General features: G+C 44.1%; 1 pseudogene across 1 annotated transcript in view, besides 7 other annotated features; it reads left to right on the forward strand.

The window, feature by feature from the left end:
- LOC100287072 (ribosomal protein S6 kinase B1 pseudogene) overlaps positions 1 to 17,964 on the forward strand; it is a 107,286-nt pseudogene that overhangs the window by 60,326 nt on the left and 28,996 nt on the right. The gene's annotated exons all lie outside the window — the stretch shown is intronic.
- Positions 2,352 to 2,401: an enhancer, noted in NCBI's record as "active region_11869". NCBI's record gives its function as "activates an Ori minimal core promoter by ATAC-STARR-seq in GM12878 lymphoblastoid cells {active_cell/tissue: GM12878}" and the evidence as "EXISTENCE:reporter gene assay evidence [ECO:0000049][PMID:35858748]".
- Positions 4,573 to 5,073: an enhancer, noted in NCBI's record as "H3K4me1 hESC enhancer chr17:20601656-20602156 (GRCh37/hg19 assembly coordinates)". NCBI's record gives its function as "activates a minimal SCP1, AML or CMV promoter by ChIP-STARR-seq in naive H9 embryonic stem cells {active_cell/tissue: H9 hESC(naive)}" and the evidence as "EXISTENCE:reporter gene assay evidence [ECO:0000049][PMID:30033119]".
- Positions 4,573 to 5,088: a biological region, named in NCBI's record as "H3K4me1 hESC enhancer GRCh37_chr17:20601656-20602156".
- Positions 4,859 to 4,948: an enhancer, noted in NCBI's record as "active region_11870". NCBI's record gives its function as "activates an Ori minimal core promoter by ATAC-STARR-seq in GM12878 lymphoblastoid cells {active_cell/tissue: GM12878}" and the evidence as "EXISTENCE:reporter gene assay evidence [ECO:0000049][PMID:35858748]".
- Positions 5,039 to 5,088: an enhancer, noted in NCBI's record as "active region_11871". NCBI's record gives its function as "activates an Ori minimal core promoter by ATAC-STARR-seq in GM12878 lymphoblastoid cells {active_cell/tissue: GM12878}" and the evidence as "EXISTENCE:reporter gene assay evidence [ECO:0000049][PMID:35858748]".
- Positions 5,074 to 5,574: an enhancer, noted in NCBI's record as "H3K4me1 hESC enhancer chr17:20602157-20602657 (GRCh37/hg19 assembly coordinates)". NCBI's record gives its function as "activates a minimal SCP1, AML or CMV promoter by ChIP-STARR-seq in naive H9 embryonic stem cells {active_cell/tissue: H9 hESC(naive)}" and the evidence as "EXISTENCE:reporter gene assay evidence [ECO:0000049][PMID:30033119]".
- Positions 5,099 to 5,248: an enhancer, noted in NCBI's record as "active region_11872". NCBI's record gives its function as "activates an Ori minimal core promoter by ATAC-STARR-seq in GM12878 lymphoblastoid cells {active_cell/tissue: GM12878}" and the evidence as "EXISTENCE:reporter gene assay evidence [ECO:0000049][PMID:35858748]".

Consider the following 17,964-nt stretch of genomic DNA (forward strand, 5'->3'; position numbering starts at 1 on the left):
TTCTGTGTCCTACATCCTATTCTTTTTCTTTTTCTTTTTTTTTCCTCCAGTATCTCCCTGAGAATGGGTTCATAGAAGGTAAAATTTTATGGCCTTGCATCTTTGTTTTACCCTAATGCTTGATGGTTTCCTTGGGTATAACATTTTAGGTTAGCAACTATTTCCCTTTATAATTTTGTGGGAATTGTTCCATTGTCTTCTATTTGCCAGTGTTGCAGCAAGAAGAAAATAATTCCAGTCCTTTGTGACTTTTTTCTCTCCAAAAGCTCATAGGAGGTTCAGGCTGTTGCCAGGATTCTAAACTTTCAGTGTGGTTTGCCTTGCTGTATAGCTTAAGGTCTTTTTTTTTCTTTCTTTCTTTCTTTCTTTTTTTTTTTTTTTTTGTCATGCTAGTCACTCACTGCACCCTTTCAATACAGTAATTCGTGTCTTTATTTTCTGGAATTATTTCATTGGTAATTTCTTCTACTCTGTTTTCTTTTTCTGGAACTCCCTTTACCCTGGTCCCCTAATTATCATATTTTTTTCTCCTGTTTTCTATCTCTTTGCCTTATAATTTTGTTTTCTGGGATTAAACTTGAGGCTTCCCTAAGTTTATCTTCCAAATTCTATTAAATGCTTCATTTCTGCTATCTTTTTTTTGTTTTTGCATCACTTCAATTTTCTTACTTTAATTGTGGCAAAATACGTATAACATAAAATTTACCATCTGAACCATTTTTAAGTGTACAGTTCAGTATTGTTGAGTATATTCACATTGTTGTGTAACCAATCTCCAGAACTTTTTCATTTTGCAAAACTGAAACTCTTACCCATTAAATACTGACCTGCCATTCCCCTTGTCCCCCAGCCACCATTCTACTTTGTATCACTATGAATTTGACTACTCTAGGTACCTCATATAAGTGAAATCATATAGTATTTGTCCTTTTTGTCTGGCTTATTTCACTTAGCATAATGACCTCAAGGTTCATCCACATTATGGCATGTCAGAATTTCATTTCTTTTTAAGGCTGAATAAAATTCCGTCAGATATGTTTGCTATCATATATTTAACTTCTAGGATTTTTTTGTTCCCTAAATTTTTTATAGCATCCTGTTCTTGTTTCCTAGATGTAATGTCATATATGAATTTCGCTGAAGATTGTAGGTTGATTCTATCACCAAATCTCCCTACCTGGGTTGTTTCCTACAGTCCCTTTGTTCCACTGGTATCTTTAGTTCTCTATCTTTATGCTTGAGGTTTGACTGCTCATGTTTAGGTGGAGGCTCTGCAAAGCTGACCGCTGCCTGGGCCTGTGTATGTGGCCTGCAACTATGGTCTTCATAGTAGAGAGCTGTTCCCGTGGCATGTCCATGACAAACTCCTGATGTCAGTGTCTTTAGGTCCTTCCTCTTGGGCTCATCCATTCCCCAGAGAAGGGCCTTCCAGTCTCCTGCTTGAGGGCTTAGACTTGGCAGCCAGGATTATGGGATCAGTCAGAGAAGAGGCCTGGGGGTGGAGAATGACTATCTCAGCCCTCACCTTGTAAATTCGTTTAATTCCCTTGTTTTCAATGTATCACTTGTGCCTCAACTGCTCAATATCCACCCGGTCCAGAGGCTTCATTTTATGCTCTGGTGTGCAGGGAAGAGAGAGTGTCTGGAGCTTTGGCTGCTCTGTGAACACATCTCTAACCCAGTCCTTCTGTTTTTAACCACCTTCATCCCCCGACCTGAAGCACCTCTTGCCACAAATTTCCTGAGCCTTTGGGGGATTTTGTACCATAATCAGGTCTTTGCCCTTCCCCACTGCTGGCTTGGGATTTAGTTTGCTTAGGTCTGTTTTGTTAGTTATTTCTTGTCCATCAACTTTTCAGCTGCCAAGTTTTATTTTCTTTGCTGTTTTCTTTTTCCTTGTCAGTTAATGCTTTTGGGGGAAAAAAAGAAATGCCTTTCTGTGGTTTCGTGGGGCTTCACAATGGAATGAGACTGTGAGTGCATGCATTTCATTGCTGTCTGCCTGGAAGCCTCAGAGCACTTTATTCGTTTCTCCTGAAGGATATTAACCATATCTGTCACAGAGGTCCCAGATATCCTTTGTGTGTGTGTGTGTGTGTGTGTGTATATATATATATGCACACACACACATACACACACACACACACATTATATAAATACACATACTCCTTTGTTCTGGATGGCCATTTATTTCAGCATCACTTATTTCATCATCTCTCTTGAACTACCTGATAGGCCTAGGTATGAATGGGAACTGAGTGGTGTCTGGACTTGTTGTTCCCTTCTGTGGCTCTGTGGGTCTGGTCCTCTGCCACAGGTTGCTGCTGAGCAGAGAAATGAGAGCATGATCTGAATGCTGCACAACATCCTGGGTCCCAGCCAGGGCCCTGTGAGTGTCAGCCAGTGCTGTTATGTGCATTGTCGTCATGATTTTTATGCCCTGGCATTTTTCATTATTTCATTATACTTGTTGGTGTGCCAGATAAATTACTACAAATAATTTTATTTCTTCTTTCCAATATTTATATCTCTTGTACTTTTTTGGGTTTATTGCATTCATGACAGTCTGAAACAACTAATACTTATTAATGCTGGACATTCTTGTTTTATTTTCCATTAATAGCAATATCTTACTTTAAGATTTTTGTATTGTTTTCTGATGAATAGTTTATCAATTAAGGGAAGCTTACATCTGTTTTGAATTTACTGAGTTTTTTTAAATCCCGAAATAGATAAGAATTATAGCAAATTCCTTTTTGGCAGTTAATGAGCTATTCATATGGTTTCTTTTTAAACTTATTTATGTAATTAATAACATAAATAGATTTTCTAGTAGGAAAAAATTCTTACATATCTGGGGGCAAAATTCCAATTTGGTTATGGTGTATTACTGTTGTGGGAAATCTCTACTTGATTATGGTTAATATTTAATATGAAGCATACTATTTTTTATACTCTTATTGATGAAGAGACATTTGGCTTGTGGTTGCTTGCTTTAAGTATAAATAAAGTTTTGTGTTAATAAGGCCTGATTTTTTTAGTTATGATGTTAGTGAGCTCTAAAACCCTGTATTATCTTTTTATGTAGTCAAAAATGCAATAAGGGCCAAGTGCAGTAGCTCACACCTATAATCTCAGGGCTTTAGGAGGCCAAGGTGGGAGAATCGCTTGAGGCCAGGAGTTTGAGACCAATCAGGTCAACATAGCAAGACCTCCTCTTACAAAAACGTTTTAGAAAAATAGCTGGGCATAGTGGCACATGCCTGTAGTCTCAGGTACTTGTGAGGCTGAGGTGGGAGGATTGCTTGAGCCCAGGAGTTCAAGGTTGCAGTGAGCTGTGATCATGCCACTGCACTCCAGTGTGGGCAACAGAGTGAGTCCCTGACTTTTTTTTAAAAAAAAAAAAAAGAAAAAGTAATATTTATTTATTTTACTGCCTTCTCTAGTAGTGTTGGTGACAGAATTAATTCTCAGCCAAAGTTTTTTTTTTTTTTTTTTTTTTTTGAGACGGAGTCTCGCTCTGTCACCCAGGCTGGAGCGCAGTGGCACGATCTCCCCTCACTGCAAGCTCCGCCTCCTGGGTTCACGCCATTCTCCTGCCTCAGCCTCCCGAGTAGCAGGGACTACAGGCGCCCGCCACCATGCCCGGCTAATTTTTTGTATTTTTAGTAGAGACGGGGTTTCACCATGTTAGCCAGGATGGTCTTGATCTCCTGACCTTGTGATCCGCCTGCCTCGGCCTCCCAAAGTGCTGGGATTACAGGCGTGAGCCACCGCACCCAGCCACAGATGTTTTATACTCTGGGTATAAGACTCTGACTCTCAAATCTGACAAACGAAAACTTGAAGCTTTAAAAAAAAAAGAAATGGTTGGAAGTTGGGAAACTTCTCATTTAAAAGTTCCAGACAATTTTTGTGTTCTCTAACAGTGAAGACTGAAGTTTTCCCTGGGACTGATGCCCTTGTTTTGGTGAAAGTCTTCTGAAAGGACCTGTTAGTTGTGCAGAAGTAAGGCTAGGCCTCCTCCTGTTCTCGGGGCTCAGGGTGTGAGTGGTCTGAGGCCCGCCATCGACCCCGGTGCCTCAGTGGCAGATCGAGTGTCTCTCATCCCTTGTGGCCACTTGATCTGCTGAATTCTGAGTCGGATGTGTTGAAGTCTCTTCCTCTGAACTGTGGTTTGTGTAAAAAGCTTTGATTTCTAAGAGATTATGTCGAACCATACATAAAGGTTTCTAGCCCTATCTTCTTGGTGGTGGCTTTTACCTTTAATTTTAGTTAGTCCTTTTAATCTTGAAGTATACATTTTGCAATACCAATATTACTGTTTCCATCTATGTTTTGAGGTTAGAAATCAGAGTTGGAGGCAGGGTCTGGGCCCAGGTGCTCTTGCCAGGGCTGCTTTCTAGGGTAGAATGGAGGAAGAGCCTTGGGCAAGGGCCAAGACCACTGGCCACTGTCGCCAGGGGAGCACTCAAAAGTCAGGGCTGTGCCTGGGAGCAAGAGGGACTCCAAAGACCCAGAGCAGATCTGGAGCACTGTGAGTTGGAGGAGTTGGGGTCGGACGGCAGCCTACAAGGGTGAGGGTGGTGAGAAAGCAGGGTGAACAGAGAAGGACAGATGTGGCCCGCTCAGGGATCCACACCAGTGTATGGAAACTGAGGCCCAGAGACCACCAGCCAGTAAATAGCTGGACCCAGGGAGGCCAACTCCACAGTACGCACCCTTAACTACCATGCCGGGTAGCATCCTTACTGTCCCAGAAGCATGCTTGCTTCCTCTTTACACAAACCATCCCACTCTACACCTCTTCCCCTGAGCGCACAGGACAGGACAGGACAGCTCAGTCAACACTGTCAAACCCATGACTCATGGGAGGAGCATCCCTCCAGGCATGAGTGAGCTCAGCATGGCACAGGTGTGCCAGGATGACCCCTACTGACATTTCTTCCCTGCTTGTGTACTCTTTGGGATGCTCCCACCCCTATCTCCTGCCACCCTCAGAGCCCCATAACTGTGTCCCCCTGGCTGAGGCAGCCCTGTGCCCACGGCCCTGGAACTCACTGGGCTCAGATAGGGAGCCTGGGAACCGCTGAAGGCCATCTCCACCGCCTCTGTGGCCACCGCTGCCTTTCACACCTGCCAGGCAGTCCTTTGCAGAAGGAATGACTTAACAAAGAAATAGAAACCAAAGCAACTTGGCTGTTATTCAATGGGGAGGAGCCGGCAGCAAGAGGAAGTGGGTCCAGAGAGAGAAAGGTGGTAGGGTGCTGGTTGAACTGGGGTGACACTCATAGAGGGAAGTAGGCACTCCCAGCCCCAGTGACCTTTCCCTCCTCCCTCTCCTGTGCTCAACCCCAGCCTGAAGCATAATTGGTTTATAGAGGTCTACAATGCTTGACCACACTGACATGACAGTGAGTTGCCAGATGACACTGCCCAGAAGTATGTGGCTGGGTGTCCTAAGCATGCTTGGCCACTGGTTCCAGAAAATAATGGGGCTGGGCATTGCCTGTGCACAGGGTGCTTGTGGGGAAGGGCGGCTTCAACCCATTTTACATATAGAGAAGCTGAGGCTCAGAGTCTAAGGGAGATGCCCCAGGTCACACAGCTAATTCGTGGCAGCCTGAGCTATATGAAGATTCTCAGACTCTTCAAAAAGTATTTCTCCTCTTTAAATTTCTATTCTTCATGTAAAAACATAATTATGTAGAAGGGAATATTTTGCATGAAAAACACTATAATGAAGATTTTTATTCTAGAGTATGTGGTGCCCAGGAGCTTCTGATCCTCCCTCTCAGTGAATCTCTCTTTTTTCTCTTCTCCATCCTTATTTTCTGAGCTTTAGGATGGGGAGAGAAGTCTTGGACATAACAGAACATTTCAAGCGACATGGGAGTGGGAAGGAACATATGGCATGAACTGCCTTTAATTGGCTTCAGCAGCTAGTTAGGGGAAATAATTGGCTGAAACAGAGAATAACAGGATAGGCTGCAGAGGGGAGAGGGAGCCATGAAATAAACTTACCTGAAGTTGACCAGGTCCCAACGATGTGCTGGCGAGAAGGCCCAGAACTCAAGCTGGGGATGGGCGGGTAAGGACCATACAGGCTCGAGGGGATGGCAGGTGCCCCAGGCCATACGTGAGTCTGCACGTCTCTTCCTTCCTGTGCTCTGCCTAGATGCACTAGAATTTGCAGATGAATTCCTTTGAGATGCTCCCATAGACTGAGGCCGTGTGTGTCGTCTGCACTCTCCATCCCATTATGTTCTGGATCAAGTAGAATCTGACCAAGTTAAGGAATAGACAGTACAAGGGGAGCAGAAAGGAGAGAAAGGAAGGGAAATTCTTTGCAATCCTCTCGAACACCAGGAATATTTTCATCACGTCACGTCATTTGTAGGCAATCACCAATTGATTGGGATATGGAACAACTGGAACTATCATTCATAGCAGACTTGAGTGTAAAATAATCCAACTTAAAAAAATGGGCAGGGCGTGGTGGCTCATGCCTGTAATCCCAGCCCTTTGGGAGGCTGAAGCGGGAGGATCACTTGAGTCCAGGAGGTTGAGACCAGCCTGGCCAAGATAGGAAGACCCTGTCTCTACATATAATTTACAAGGCAAATTAGCCAGGTGTGGTGGTGGACACCTGTGGTCCCAGCTATGTGGGAGGCTGAGGTGGGAGGCTCACTTGAGCCCAGGAGGCCGAGGCTGCAGTGAACCCTCATCACGCCACTGAGCTCCAGCCTAGGTAATAGAGCAAGACTGTCTCAAAAAATTAAAAAAAAAAAAAAAAAAAAAAAACTGCTTGGTGAGTTGTAATACAGTCAAATATCTACTTCTATGTTCTGGCTTTTCTACTTCTGAAAAATTACCCAAGAGAAAGGAAAACATATTTGTCTGTTTTTAAAAGCTTTACTCATCGTAGCCCCAAGCTGGTAACAATGCAAATGGTCACCAACAGAAGAAGGGAGAAATGAATTGTGGTTTTCACACCACAGGGTGGCCCTCAGCAATAAAAAGGAGCTAGGCCACAGGAAACGTCAATGAGCCTTGCAACTGAGCGGAAGAAGCCAGATCCAAACAGACACATGCTGTGAGAATTCCATTCGAGTCAAGTTGAACAACAGGCCAGAGTGGCGTTACCCTTGGGAGTCACTGACTGGGAGGGGCACGAAGGAGTCTTGGAGAGGCTGGAAATGTTCTGGATCTGGTTCTGGGTGGTGGTCCCACAGGTGTTTACATCCATTAACAACAGGCTGAGGCTGGGTGCAGCAGCTGACACCTGTAATTCAGCACTTTGGGAGACTGAGGCAGGAGGATTGCTTGAGTCCAGGAGTTTGAGACCAGCCTGGGCAGCATAGCAAGACCTTCTGTGTACTAAAAATCAAAAAACTTAGTGAGGCATGGTGGTGCATGCCTGTAGTCCCAGCTACAGGGAGGCTGAGGCAGGAGGATTGCTTGAGCCTGGGAGGCTGAGGCCACAGTGAGCTATGATCACACCACTGCACTGCAGGTTGAGTGACAGAGCAAGACCCTGTCTCAAAACAAAACAAAACTCAAACAGAAAACCAGGATCTGTACATTTTACTCTACCTAGACGATATCTCCGTAAAATACTGCTAAAAGAAAATATCTCCCAGAGCCCAAGGAGACACAGGCACAGCTAAGAGTTCCAGCAGTTTAGCACCTTAGCATCACCTTGAGCCTTGGAGGTGAGTCACAGTTAAGCAGCTTCACTAGTGAGTCCAGCCCATAAAGGAGGGCCCTCTGCTCCACACCCTGTCTGGAGGTGCCCCAGTAAGGTCATACCCAAAGGCTGACATGTTTTTAGACTAATCAACACAGTACAGTAGGGAGGCACTTCGAGGCACAGTGCCAGGCCACTGAGAGTTCTGACTTCGGCACCCTTCAGTCACCACAATCCATTCCCAGTGGTTAGCTCTGGTCTTCAGGAGACTAGAAGCAGCCCTCGGGAATGTTCCTGCTCAGAGCTCTAGTGTTCAAAGTCACAGACCCTTCTCGGAGGCTCTCTGTTCTCTGCCCTATAGACTGAGGGAGTCTGCCACCTCACGCTCATTAGGATGCCTATGATTAAAAAAAAAATCCAGAAAATAACAACTTTTGGCTAGAATGTGAGTAAACTGGAACCCTGTGAAAACAGCATGGCTGTTCCTCAAAAACCTCATCATAGAATTACTATATGGTCCAGCAATTCCACTTCTGGGTATATCCCCCAAATAACCAAAAGCAGGAACTCAAAGAGACATGTGAACACCCAGGTTTGTAGCAGCATCATTCACAAAAGCCAAGAGGTGAAAGCAACACGTGTCCATCAATGGATGAGTGGTCAACAAAATGTGGGCCAGACATACATTCAGCCCTAAAAAGGAAGGAAATTCTGGCACATGCCACAACATGGATGGTCCTTGAGAACATTAAGTGAAATAAAAGTCATAAAAGAACAAGCACTGTAGGCTGGGTGCGGTGGCTCACACCTGTAATCCCAGCACTTTGGGAGGCCAAGGTGGGAAAATCACCTGAGGTCAGGAGTTCAAGACCAGCCTGGCCAACATGGTGAAACTCCGTCTCTATTAAAAATATAAAAAGTAGCCGGGCGTGGTGATGAGTGCCTGTAGTCCCAGCTACTCAGGAGGCTGAGGCAGGAGAATCGCTTGAACCTGGGAGGCAGAGGTTGCAGTGAGCTGAGATCGCACCACTGCACTCCAGCCTGGGCAACAAAGTGAGACTGTCTCAAAAAAAAAAAAAAAAAGAAAGAAAAAGCACTGTATGATTTCACTTGTCTGAGATACCTAGAGTGGCCAGAATCAACAAAAGAAAGTAGAACGGTGGTTAGGGGCTGGTAGGAGGGGGAATGAAGACTTGTCATTTAATAGGTATAGAGTTCTGGTTTTACAAGATGAAAAGAGTTTTGTGGATGGATGGTAGTGATAATTGTATAACAGCATGAATGTTCTTAATACCTCTGAACTGTATACCTAAAACTGGTTAATATGGTACATTTTATATTATGTGTGTTTTACCACAATTAATTTTTTTTTTTAAATGGGGTCTAACTCTGTCATCCAGGCCAGAGTGTAGTGGTGTGATCTCAGTTCACCACAACCTCCTCGCCACCCCCACCCCTTCTCACCACCCTCGGGCTCAAACCATCCTCCCACCTCAGCCTCCTGAGTAGCTGTGACCACAGGCTCATGCCACCATGTTCGGCTAATTTTTTGTACTTTTGGTAGAGACAGGGTTTCGCCCTCTTGCCCAGGTTCATCTCAAACTCCTGAGCTCAAGTGAATCTGCCCACCTTGGCATCCCAAAATGCTGGGATTTACAGGCATGAACCACTGCACCTGCCTGCAATTAAAATTTTTAAAAATGTGGCCGGGCACGGTGGCTCATGCCTGTAATTCTAGCACTTTGGGAGGCCAAGGTGGGAGGATCACCTGAGGTCAGGAGTTCGAGACCTGCCTGGCCAACATGGTGAAACCCAGTCTCTACTAAAAGAACAAAAATTAGCCGGGTGTGGTAGTAGGTGCCTGTAATCCCAGCTATTTGGGAGACTGAGGCAAGAGAATCGTTTGAACCCAGGAGGCAAAGGTTGCAGTGAGCCAAGATCGTGCCATTGCACTCCAGCCTGGGCAACATGAGTGAGACTTCATCTCAAAAAAAAAAAAATTTTTTTTAAATGTAAGTATGATGGTCTCTATGAACCAGACTGAGAATCTACCACTGCCAGGTTTATTCTGTTCCCTGTCCCCCCACAGGGCCTTACCCTAGGCACTTCCTTCAGGGTGTTTAGGACAGGCTGGTCTCTGCTTGACAGGTGCTATGATTTGAATGTGGTTTGTGCCAACCAAAACTCATGTTGAAATTTACTTGCCAACATGATGGTGTTTGGAGGCAGGGTCTTTAAGAGGTGACTGGGTTATCAGGATGGATGAATGACTTCCTCTGGGTGAGTTATCAAGAGAATGGATTAGCTCTCCTGAGAGTAGGTTGTTATAAAGCAGGTCAGCCTATTTTGTTCTCTCTCTCTGGCACACGCTTGCTTGCCCTTCTGCTTCTCTGCCATGTTAGGACACAGGTCAAAGGCCCTCACCAGAAGCTGACCAGATGAGCTGCCCAATCTTGGACTTCCCAGCCTCTAGAACTGTGAACCAAAGTAAATCTCTTTTCTTTGTAAATTACCCAGCCTCAGGGTGCATTCCTAAGGTATATCAGATAACTCTGGGTGACAGGACTTAGGCAGAACTTCATTATCAGCCTCTCAAGCCTGAGTGAAATGTTTTCATTTTAGACATTCTAATAGTTGTGTAGTGGTGTCTCATTAATGGTTTTAATTTGCATTTCCTTAAAGAGTGATGATGTTGAACATTTATTCAGTTGGTTATTTATGCCTGTGTCTCTTCTTTTTTTGCATTGTCTGTTTCAACGTGTTGCCCATTTATAAACTTAGATGGTTTTCTCATTATTTAGTTTTGAGAGTAATTTACATATTTTGGATGAGAGTACTTTTCTTTTTTTTTTTTTTTTGTTGGTATTTAACAAGACTTGACAGATGCAAGCACTTTATCAGAAATCTGATTTTCAAATATTTTCTCTTAGCCTGGGACTATCTTTTCATTTTTTCAACAGTGTCTTTCAAAAGCAGTCCTTAAATTTTTTTGAATGTGCCAAACACATTCATATTTATTTTATTTTTTTAAAAGTAAATAATGAACAGCAGTTTATCGGTTTGTTAAACAAAAAAAATGACAGGCTGAGTTAAGTCTCCATCAGCCAAAGTTTATTGAGTCCAAGCTTGAGGAAGTGCCCAGGAAATACACAAGGCACAGAAAGAGTCTATGGCATGGATTCTCTGAAGAAGTTTTAAAGAGATTTAGTATTTATACATATCCTTAAAAAGGGGAAGGCATGGCCAGGCACGGTGGCTCAAGCCTGTAATCCCAGCATTTTGGGAGGCCGAGGCAGGCAGATCACCTGAGGTCTGGAGTTGGAGACCAGCCTGACCAACATGAAGAAACCCCATCTCCACTAAAAATACAAAATTAGACGGGCGTCGTGGTGCATACCTATAATCCCAGCTACTCGGGAGGCTGAGGCAGGAGAATTGCTTGAACCCGGGAGGCGGAAGTTGCGGTAAGGCAAGATCACGCCATTGCACTCCAGCCTGGCCAACAAGAGCGAAACTCTATCTCAAAAAAAAAAAAGGGGGGGTGGGGAAGGCATGTAGGATGAGGGGCAGGTAGGTAGTGAGACAGGGAATAGTTATATTCTTGTGAGACTTTAGTTAGTGCCCAGTAGATCTGCATTTTACGTAAGATAAGGTGAACTTCTGAAGGAAAAAAGGGAGTAAAGGAAGAATTAATTGTGCAGGTGTCTCCGGGTAGGTGGAAGAATGATTAATCTCATCTTTGCTTTGTTCTGCACCTGGAAAGATAAACTTGGAATCAACATTATCTGTGTAGAAAGGAACAATGTTGGTTTTAAGAGCTATATTTAGATTGCAGACCTAAAGTTACAATCAACATGCCCTCATTTTATGGGCGGATATACATCTTGAAAGTTTTTGAGGCAGCAAAATATTTAAGTGTGACTGATTTGTGGGGCAAACATCTGGAGCTGCCTGAGGCCTTTTGCATCCTGTGGAGGTCTGGCTAATGCTTCATGCTTTCACACAAGGTTGTGAAGTAGCAGCTTTGCACTTGGCAAAAGCATGGCAGTGTTGTGTGGCACAAGCTCCAGGCTTAACTTTCTCTTTGGCATAAGGAGTTTGGGGATCCTGAGATTCTTTTTATTTTCCTTTTTAAGTTTTACTTTTTTAAAACCTAAGCTTAACATTACGTATTTAAACAACTGTCAAAACTTACTAAGTTGCCAGCCAGCATTCATGCACAACTAGAAAACATGCTTAATTTATATTAAGCCACAAATAGATTACCATTAATATCTTTCAGTACTAAATACTGGGGAAAAAAGCAATTATTTCTGTGGAAGATTCATCCTGACAGTGTTATCTTATCAGCAGGCTGACACCACTTGCATCACATCTCAAGCAAAATTGAAAATCAGATACATTGGTAGTGTACAATCTTGTACACACTACCAAAGAATCATAGCTGGATGGGTGCAGTGGCTTCCACCTGTATTCCAAGCACTTTGGGAGGCTGAGGCAGGAACCTTCCATGACAGTTAAACTCTGCCTGTTGAAAAAAAGAAACCGGGGATGGTGGCAAAGTCACACCTGTAATCCCAACACTGTGAGAGGCCGATGCAGGAGGACTGATTGAGTCCACGAGTTTGAGACCAGCCTGGGCAACATGGAGAAACCGTGCCTCTACAAAAAATACAAAAATTAGCTAGGCCTGGTAGTGCATGCCTATAGTCCCAGCTACTCGGGAGGCATAGGTGGGTGGGAAGATTGCTTGAGCCTGGGAGGTTGAGGCTGCAGTAAGCCAAGATCGAGCCACAGCCTGGGTGACAAAGTGAGACCCTGTCTCAAATAAATAAATAAATAAGTCACAGCTTACTTTGGATTATGTTTAATTAAGAAAAGCAAAGTACATACAGAGATTTATAACTTTAAAGACAAAAAAAGTCTTACTATGTGATCCAAAGAATAAACTCATAAGTCCATGACAAATAGAAGTTCTAAACAATTGTTTACAAACACTTCAGGTATAATTACAGTAAAAGTCAAGTTCATCTGAAATCACCAAAAAAGTTTCTGGTTGGGCACGGTGGCTCACCACCTGTAATCCCAGCATTTAGGGATTTTCTTACAATAAAAGGCATGCAGGTTGATTATTATCAAACTGTTCCTATTTTAAATGACATGATTGCCCCTATATAAAATTTTAAGGAATCTAAAAACAAAAAACAGCTTCCGAAACTAGTGAGTTTAGAAGCGCACAGCATGCAACATAAATATATGAAAACCGATTGTATTTCTATATAGTAATAAAAAACAAGTAGACACTAAAATTAAAACTGCTATGTTGTTTATAATCACTCGAAAAATTAAATACTTAGCTATAAATCTCACAAAACATGGACAGAACTCATAAGCTGAAATCTACACAGTGCTGAGGAGAACAAGTTCCTGGATCATCCTGCAACCTGGAGGGGACGGCCCTGGGGCTTTCAGGGCCCTGGGGCTTTCAGGGTGGAGCGTGAACAGGCCTCCGGGAAACATCTTCCATCAGCCAAACCCTCCTGCTGCCTTATTGAAGAAGTCCCTCTTCAGGCTCTTCTGCTCACGTCTCTGAATCTCTCCTTGGCAAAGGCTCACGTGGGCTCTGGCACCGGCGTCATGCGGAGGACAATGAAGGGCAGCCGGGCATCTTGGGGTGACTCCCGGAGCCCCGCCTGCACCCAGGCCGGCTCTTCCTGCACAGTGGCCCTGCCTGAGGCTGCTTTCCACCAGCAGGAATCGAAACTGATCTGGATGAGAACACGTGTGTGGAGGGAGGAGGCTTGGCTAGAAATGAGAAAGAGCAAGAACACCTTTATGAGGCAGAGAAGGGACAGTGACGAGGATTAGGGTTCAGGGCTGCAGGCTGCCCCCCAGCTGGTCCCCCAGCCCAGGCCCCTCCCCACCCCTCCCTCTAGCCGAACTCTCATCAGCAGGACCAGGTAGCACAGTGCTTGGCCCAAAAAGAACAAATTGAAGTTATTCAGAGAGCTCAGGAAACCCCTCTTACAGGCATCAACTGGTTTCCAGGAAAAGAGAGAGGTTAAAAGCCGACCCCACCACTGCAATGACTCTCTTTTGAGCCCTAAAGCAAACAGAAAAATCACTGGGGTACGGAAGAAACATTTAGCATAGTGGTGCCCAGACTTTGGTAAGACAAGAATCTTCCAAGATTTGTGTGCTTGGGAGTAGGGCTAGAAATGTGGATTCTCTTTTTCTTTTTTTGAGATAGGGTCTCGGTCTGTCGCCCAGGCTGGAGTGCAGTGGCGTGGTCTCTGCTCACTGCAAGCTCCGTCTCCCGGGTCCACGCCGTTCTCCAGCCTCAGTCTCCCGAGTAGCTGGGACCACAGGCGCCTGCCACCGCGCCTGGCTAATTTTTTGTATCTTTAGTAGAGACGGGGTTTCACCGTGTTAGCCAGGATGGTCTCGATCTCCTGACCTCGTGATCCACCCGCCTCGGCCTCCCAAAGTGCTGGGATTACAGGCATGAGCCACCGCGCCCGGCGTATATTTTCTCTCAGCATAAACAAGTTTCAGTCTTACTGATGTGTGTTAAACTGTTCCCCCATTTATACTCAGCTGGTTCGTGGTTTTTAATAATGTAGATACAAATGTAAGGAATATTTATATGTACATAACTTTTCGCTTTTAAAACGTTGTTAGGCCAAGCGCAGTGGCTCATGCCTATAATCCTAGCACTTTGGGAGACTGAGGCGGGCGCATTGCCTGAGCTAAGGAGTTCAAGACCAGCCTGGGCAACACAGTGAAACCCCGTCTCTACTAAAATACAAAAAACATCAACTGGGCGTGGCGGCATGCACACGTAGTCCAGCTACTCAGGAGGCTGAGGCAAAAGAATTGCTTGAATTCGGGAGGCGGAGGTTGCAGTAAGCCAGGATCGCACCACCGCACTTCAGCCTGGGAGACAGAGTGAGACTCCGTCTCTTAAAAAAAAAGAAACAAAACAAAAACAAAAACAAAAAAAAAACTGTGACAAGGTCGGGCGTGGTGGCTTATGCCTGCAATCCCAGCACTTTGGGAGGCTGAGGCAGCCGGATCACCTGAGTTCAGGAGTTTGAAACCAGCCTGGCCAACACGGTGAAACTCTGTCTCTACTAAGAAAAACACAAAAATCAGGGGCTGGGCGCGGTGGCTCACGGCTGTAATCCCAGCACTTTGGGAGGCCAAGGTGGGCGGATCACGAGGTCAGGAGATCGAGACCATCCTGGCTAAGACGGTGAAACCCCGTCTCTACTAAAAATACAAAAAATTAGCCAGGGATGGTTGCAGGCGCCTGTAGTCCCAGCTACTCCGGAGGCTGAGGCAGGAGAATGGCGTGAACCCGGGAGGGGGAGCTTGCAGTGAGCGGAGACCGTGCCACTGCACTCCAGCCTGGGCGAGGAGCTAGACTCTTGTCTCAAAAAAAAAAAAAAAGAAAAAAGAAAAGAAAAAAGAAAAATACAAAAATTAGCCAGGTGTGATGGCAAGTGCCTGTAATACCAGCTACTCGGAAGGCTGAGACACCAGAATAGCTTGAATCCCGGAGGCGGAGGTTGCAGTGAGCCGAGATCGCACTACTGCACTCCAGCCTGCGGGAAAAAGTGAGACTCAGTCTCAAAAAAAAAAAAAGAAAAAAAAAAATAGGAAGCAAGCTGGGTATGTGCGTTTAGAGGTGCTGTACATTTTCAGCATTATAAATGAATAGAGATGAGTGGCAATAGTTTTTTTGGTCCATAGATTTTTGGTATCTTAACTAGTTTTGGATCTCTTCAACTAAAGGGACTGCCTGTTGAACGTTGTTAGGAATATAAGTACTGAAGGCAAACTGCCTGGGTTTGAATTTTGTTCTGTCCCTTGCACCCTGCCTGGCTTCAAATCCTAGCTCTGCTTATTAAAGTTCTTTTAAGGGATGATCTTTGAGCAAATGTCTTAGCTTCTGTTTTCCCAAGTAAATGGACACAATAGTTGCTACCTTGTGAAAGATTCATGTAATTGACCAGTGTTTACCAAGTAGCATCAGTGTTCAGTTTCAGTCATTGGTGATTCTGCAGTTGGATTGTGAGGTGGTGCTGGGGTGGGGGTGGTGTGTGTGTAGCACTTAATTGCACACAGAAAGGAAAAGATACTTTTTATAACCGAGAGGCAGCTTTTCTCTTCCTTTTGTGTCAAAAGGGAAGAAGGGAGTTTGGAGAGGGAAACCAATTCTCTGTAATACTGAGCTCTCTTCCTCAAAATCAGAGGTAGATAGAATGTGTAATAATTTACAGAATTTCTAGACTGAAACAATCTGATTTTTTTAAATGTATTTTTATTTTTTCAGGTTGAGACTGAACTAAAGTTAATCTGTGGCGACCTGCTGGATGCACTGGACAAGCACCTCATTCAGCAGCTGACGCTGGCAAGTCCAAGGTTTTCTATTATGAAATGTAGGTTCTATACTAGAAAGGAAAATGTAAGATTAAAAGTTGGCCTTTTTAGAATCATGACTTCCTTCTATGTAGGTTTCCAACTTTTTTAAAAAAATAATTGTTTAATGTTAGAAGGATAGTTAATGTGGGAATAAACAGATGGTCAGGCTATTATAAAAATGCATTAGCTTTTGCTTTACTTACTTATATTCTTTTGCTTTCATGGGACCTATCTCATTCCCCTCCCCCAAACGGCCACACATTTCACAGTGCTGGCTGAATGTTTCATGTAGACATTTTATTTTATGATTAATACACTTGTGCCATTTCTTGGAACCACTTGCTTGTTTAATTCTAGTCTATCAAGTGATAATTTTGTTGATATTTAGAGGCTCCTCAGTTAATTTCTGTGGGATTTTTGGTTATATTTAATAAGGAAAATGATAGGAAATATCTAAGAAAAAAGAAACAAAGCCAATTATTCCTGAGCGTGTTTAAAATTATTGAAGTACACTTGTTAATTTTTAGTATAGAACCTACATTTCATAATAGAAAACCTTGGACTTGGCAGTGTTAGCTGCTGGAATAAGGTGTTTGTCCAGTACATTCAGAATGTCGCCACAGATTAACTTTAGCTCAGTCTCAACCTGAAAAAATAAAAATGAATTTTAAAAAATTCAGATTGTTGAAGTCTAGAAATTCTGTAAGTTATTACACATTCTATGTACCTCTGATTTTGAGGAAGAGAGCTTAGTATTGAACAGAATTGGTTTCCCTCTCCAAACTCCCTTCCTCCCTTTTGACACAAAAGCAGAGAAAAGCTGCCTCTCGGTCATCAAAAGTATCTTTTCCTTTCTGTGTGCAATTAAGTGCTACACACACACACACACCACCCCCACCCCAACACCCCATCACAGTCCAACTGCTGAATCACCAATGACTGAAACTGAACACTGATGCTACTTGGTAAACACTGGTCAATTACATGAATCTTTCACAAGGTAGCAACTATTGTGTCCATTTACTTGGGAAAACAGAAGCTAAGACGTTTGCTCAAAGATCATCCCCTTAAAAGAACTTAATAAGCAGAGCTAGGATTTGAAGCCAGGCAGGGTGCAAGGGACAGAACAAAATTCAAACCCAGGCAGTTTGCCTTCAGTACTTACATTCCTAACAACGTTCAACAGGCAGTCCCTTTAGTGGAAGAGATCCAAAACTAGTTAAGATACCAAAAATCTATGTACCAAGTAACTATTGCCACTCATCTCTATTCATTTATAATGCTGAAAACGTACAACACCTCTAAAGGCAGATACCCAGTTTACTTCCTTTTTTTTTTTTTTTTGAGAGGGGGTCTTGCTTTGTTGCCCAGGCTGGAGTGCAGTGGCGTGATCTCAGCTCACTGCAATCTCCACCTCCCGGGTTCATGTCATTCTCCTGCCTCAGCCTCCCAAGGAGGTGGGACCACAGGCGCCCACCACCACGCCCAGCTAATTTTTTGTATTTTTAGTAGAGACGGGGTTTCACTGTGTTAGCCAGGTTGGTCTCGATCTCCTGACCTTGTGATCCAACTGCCTCAGCCTCCCAAAGTGCTGAGATTACAGGCATGAGCCACCACGCCTGGGCTATTTTTTGGTTTTTAGACAGTCTTGCCCTGTCACCCAGGCTGGAGTGCAGTGGCCCTGTCTCGGCTCACTGCCTTCCAGGTTCAAGCAGTTCTCATACCTCAGCTCCCTGAGTAGCTGGGATTACAGGGGCGTGCCACTATATCTGGTTAATTTTTGTATTTTTAGTAGAGATGGGGTTTCACCACGTTGGGTAGGCTGGTCTTGAATTCCTGGCCTCAAG

This window comes from Homo sapiens, chromosome 17, assembly GCF_000001405.40.
Source record: "Homo sapiens chromosome 17, GRCh38.p14 Primary Assembly".
NCBI lineage: Eukaryota > Metazoa > Chordata > Mammalia > Primates > Hominidae > Homo > Homo sapiens.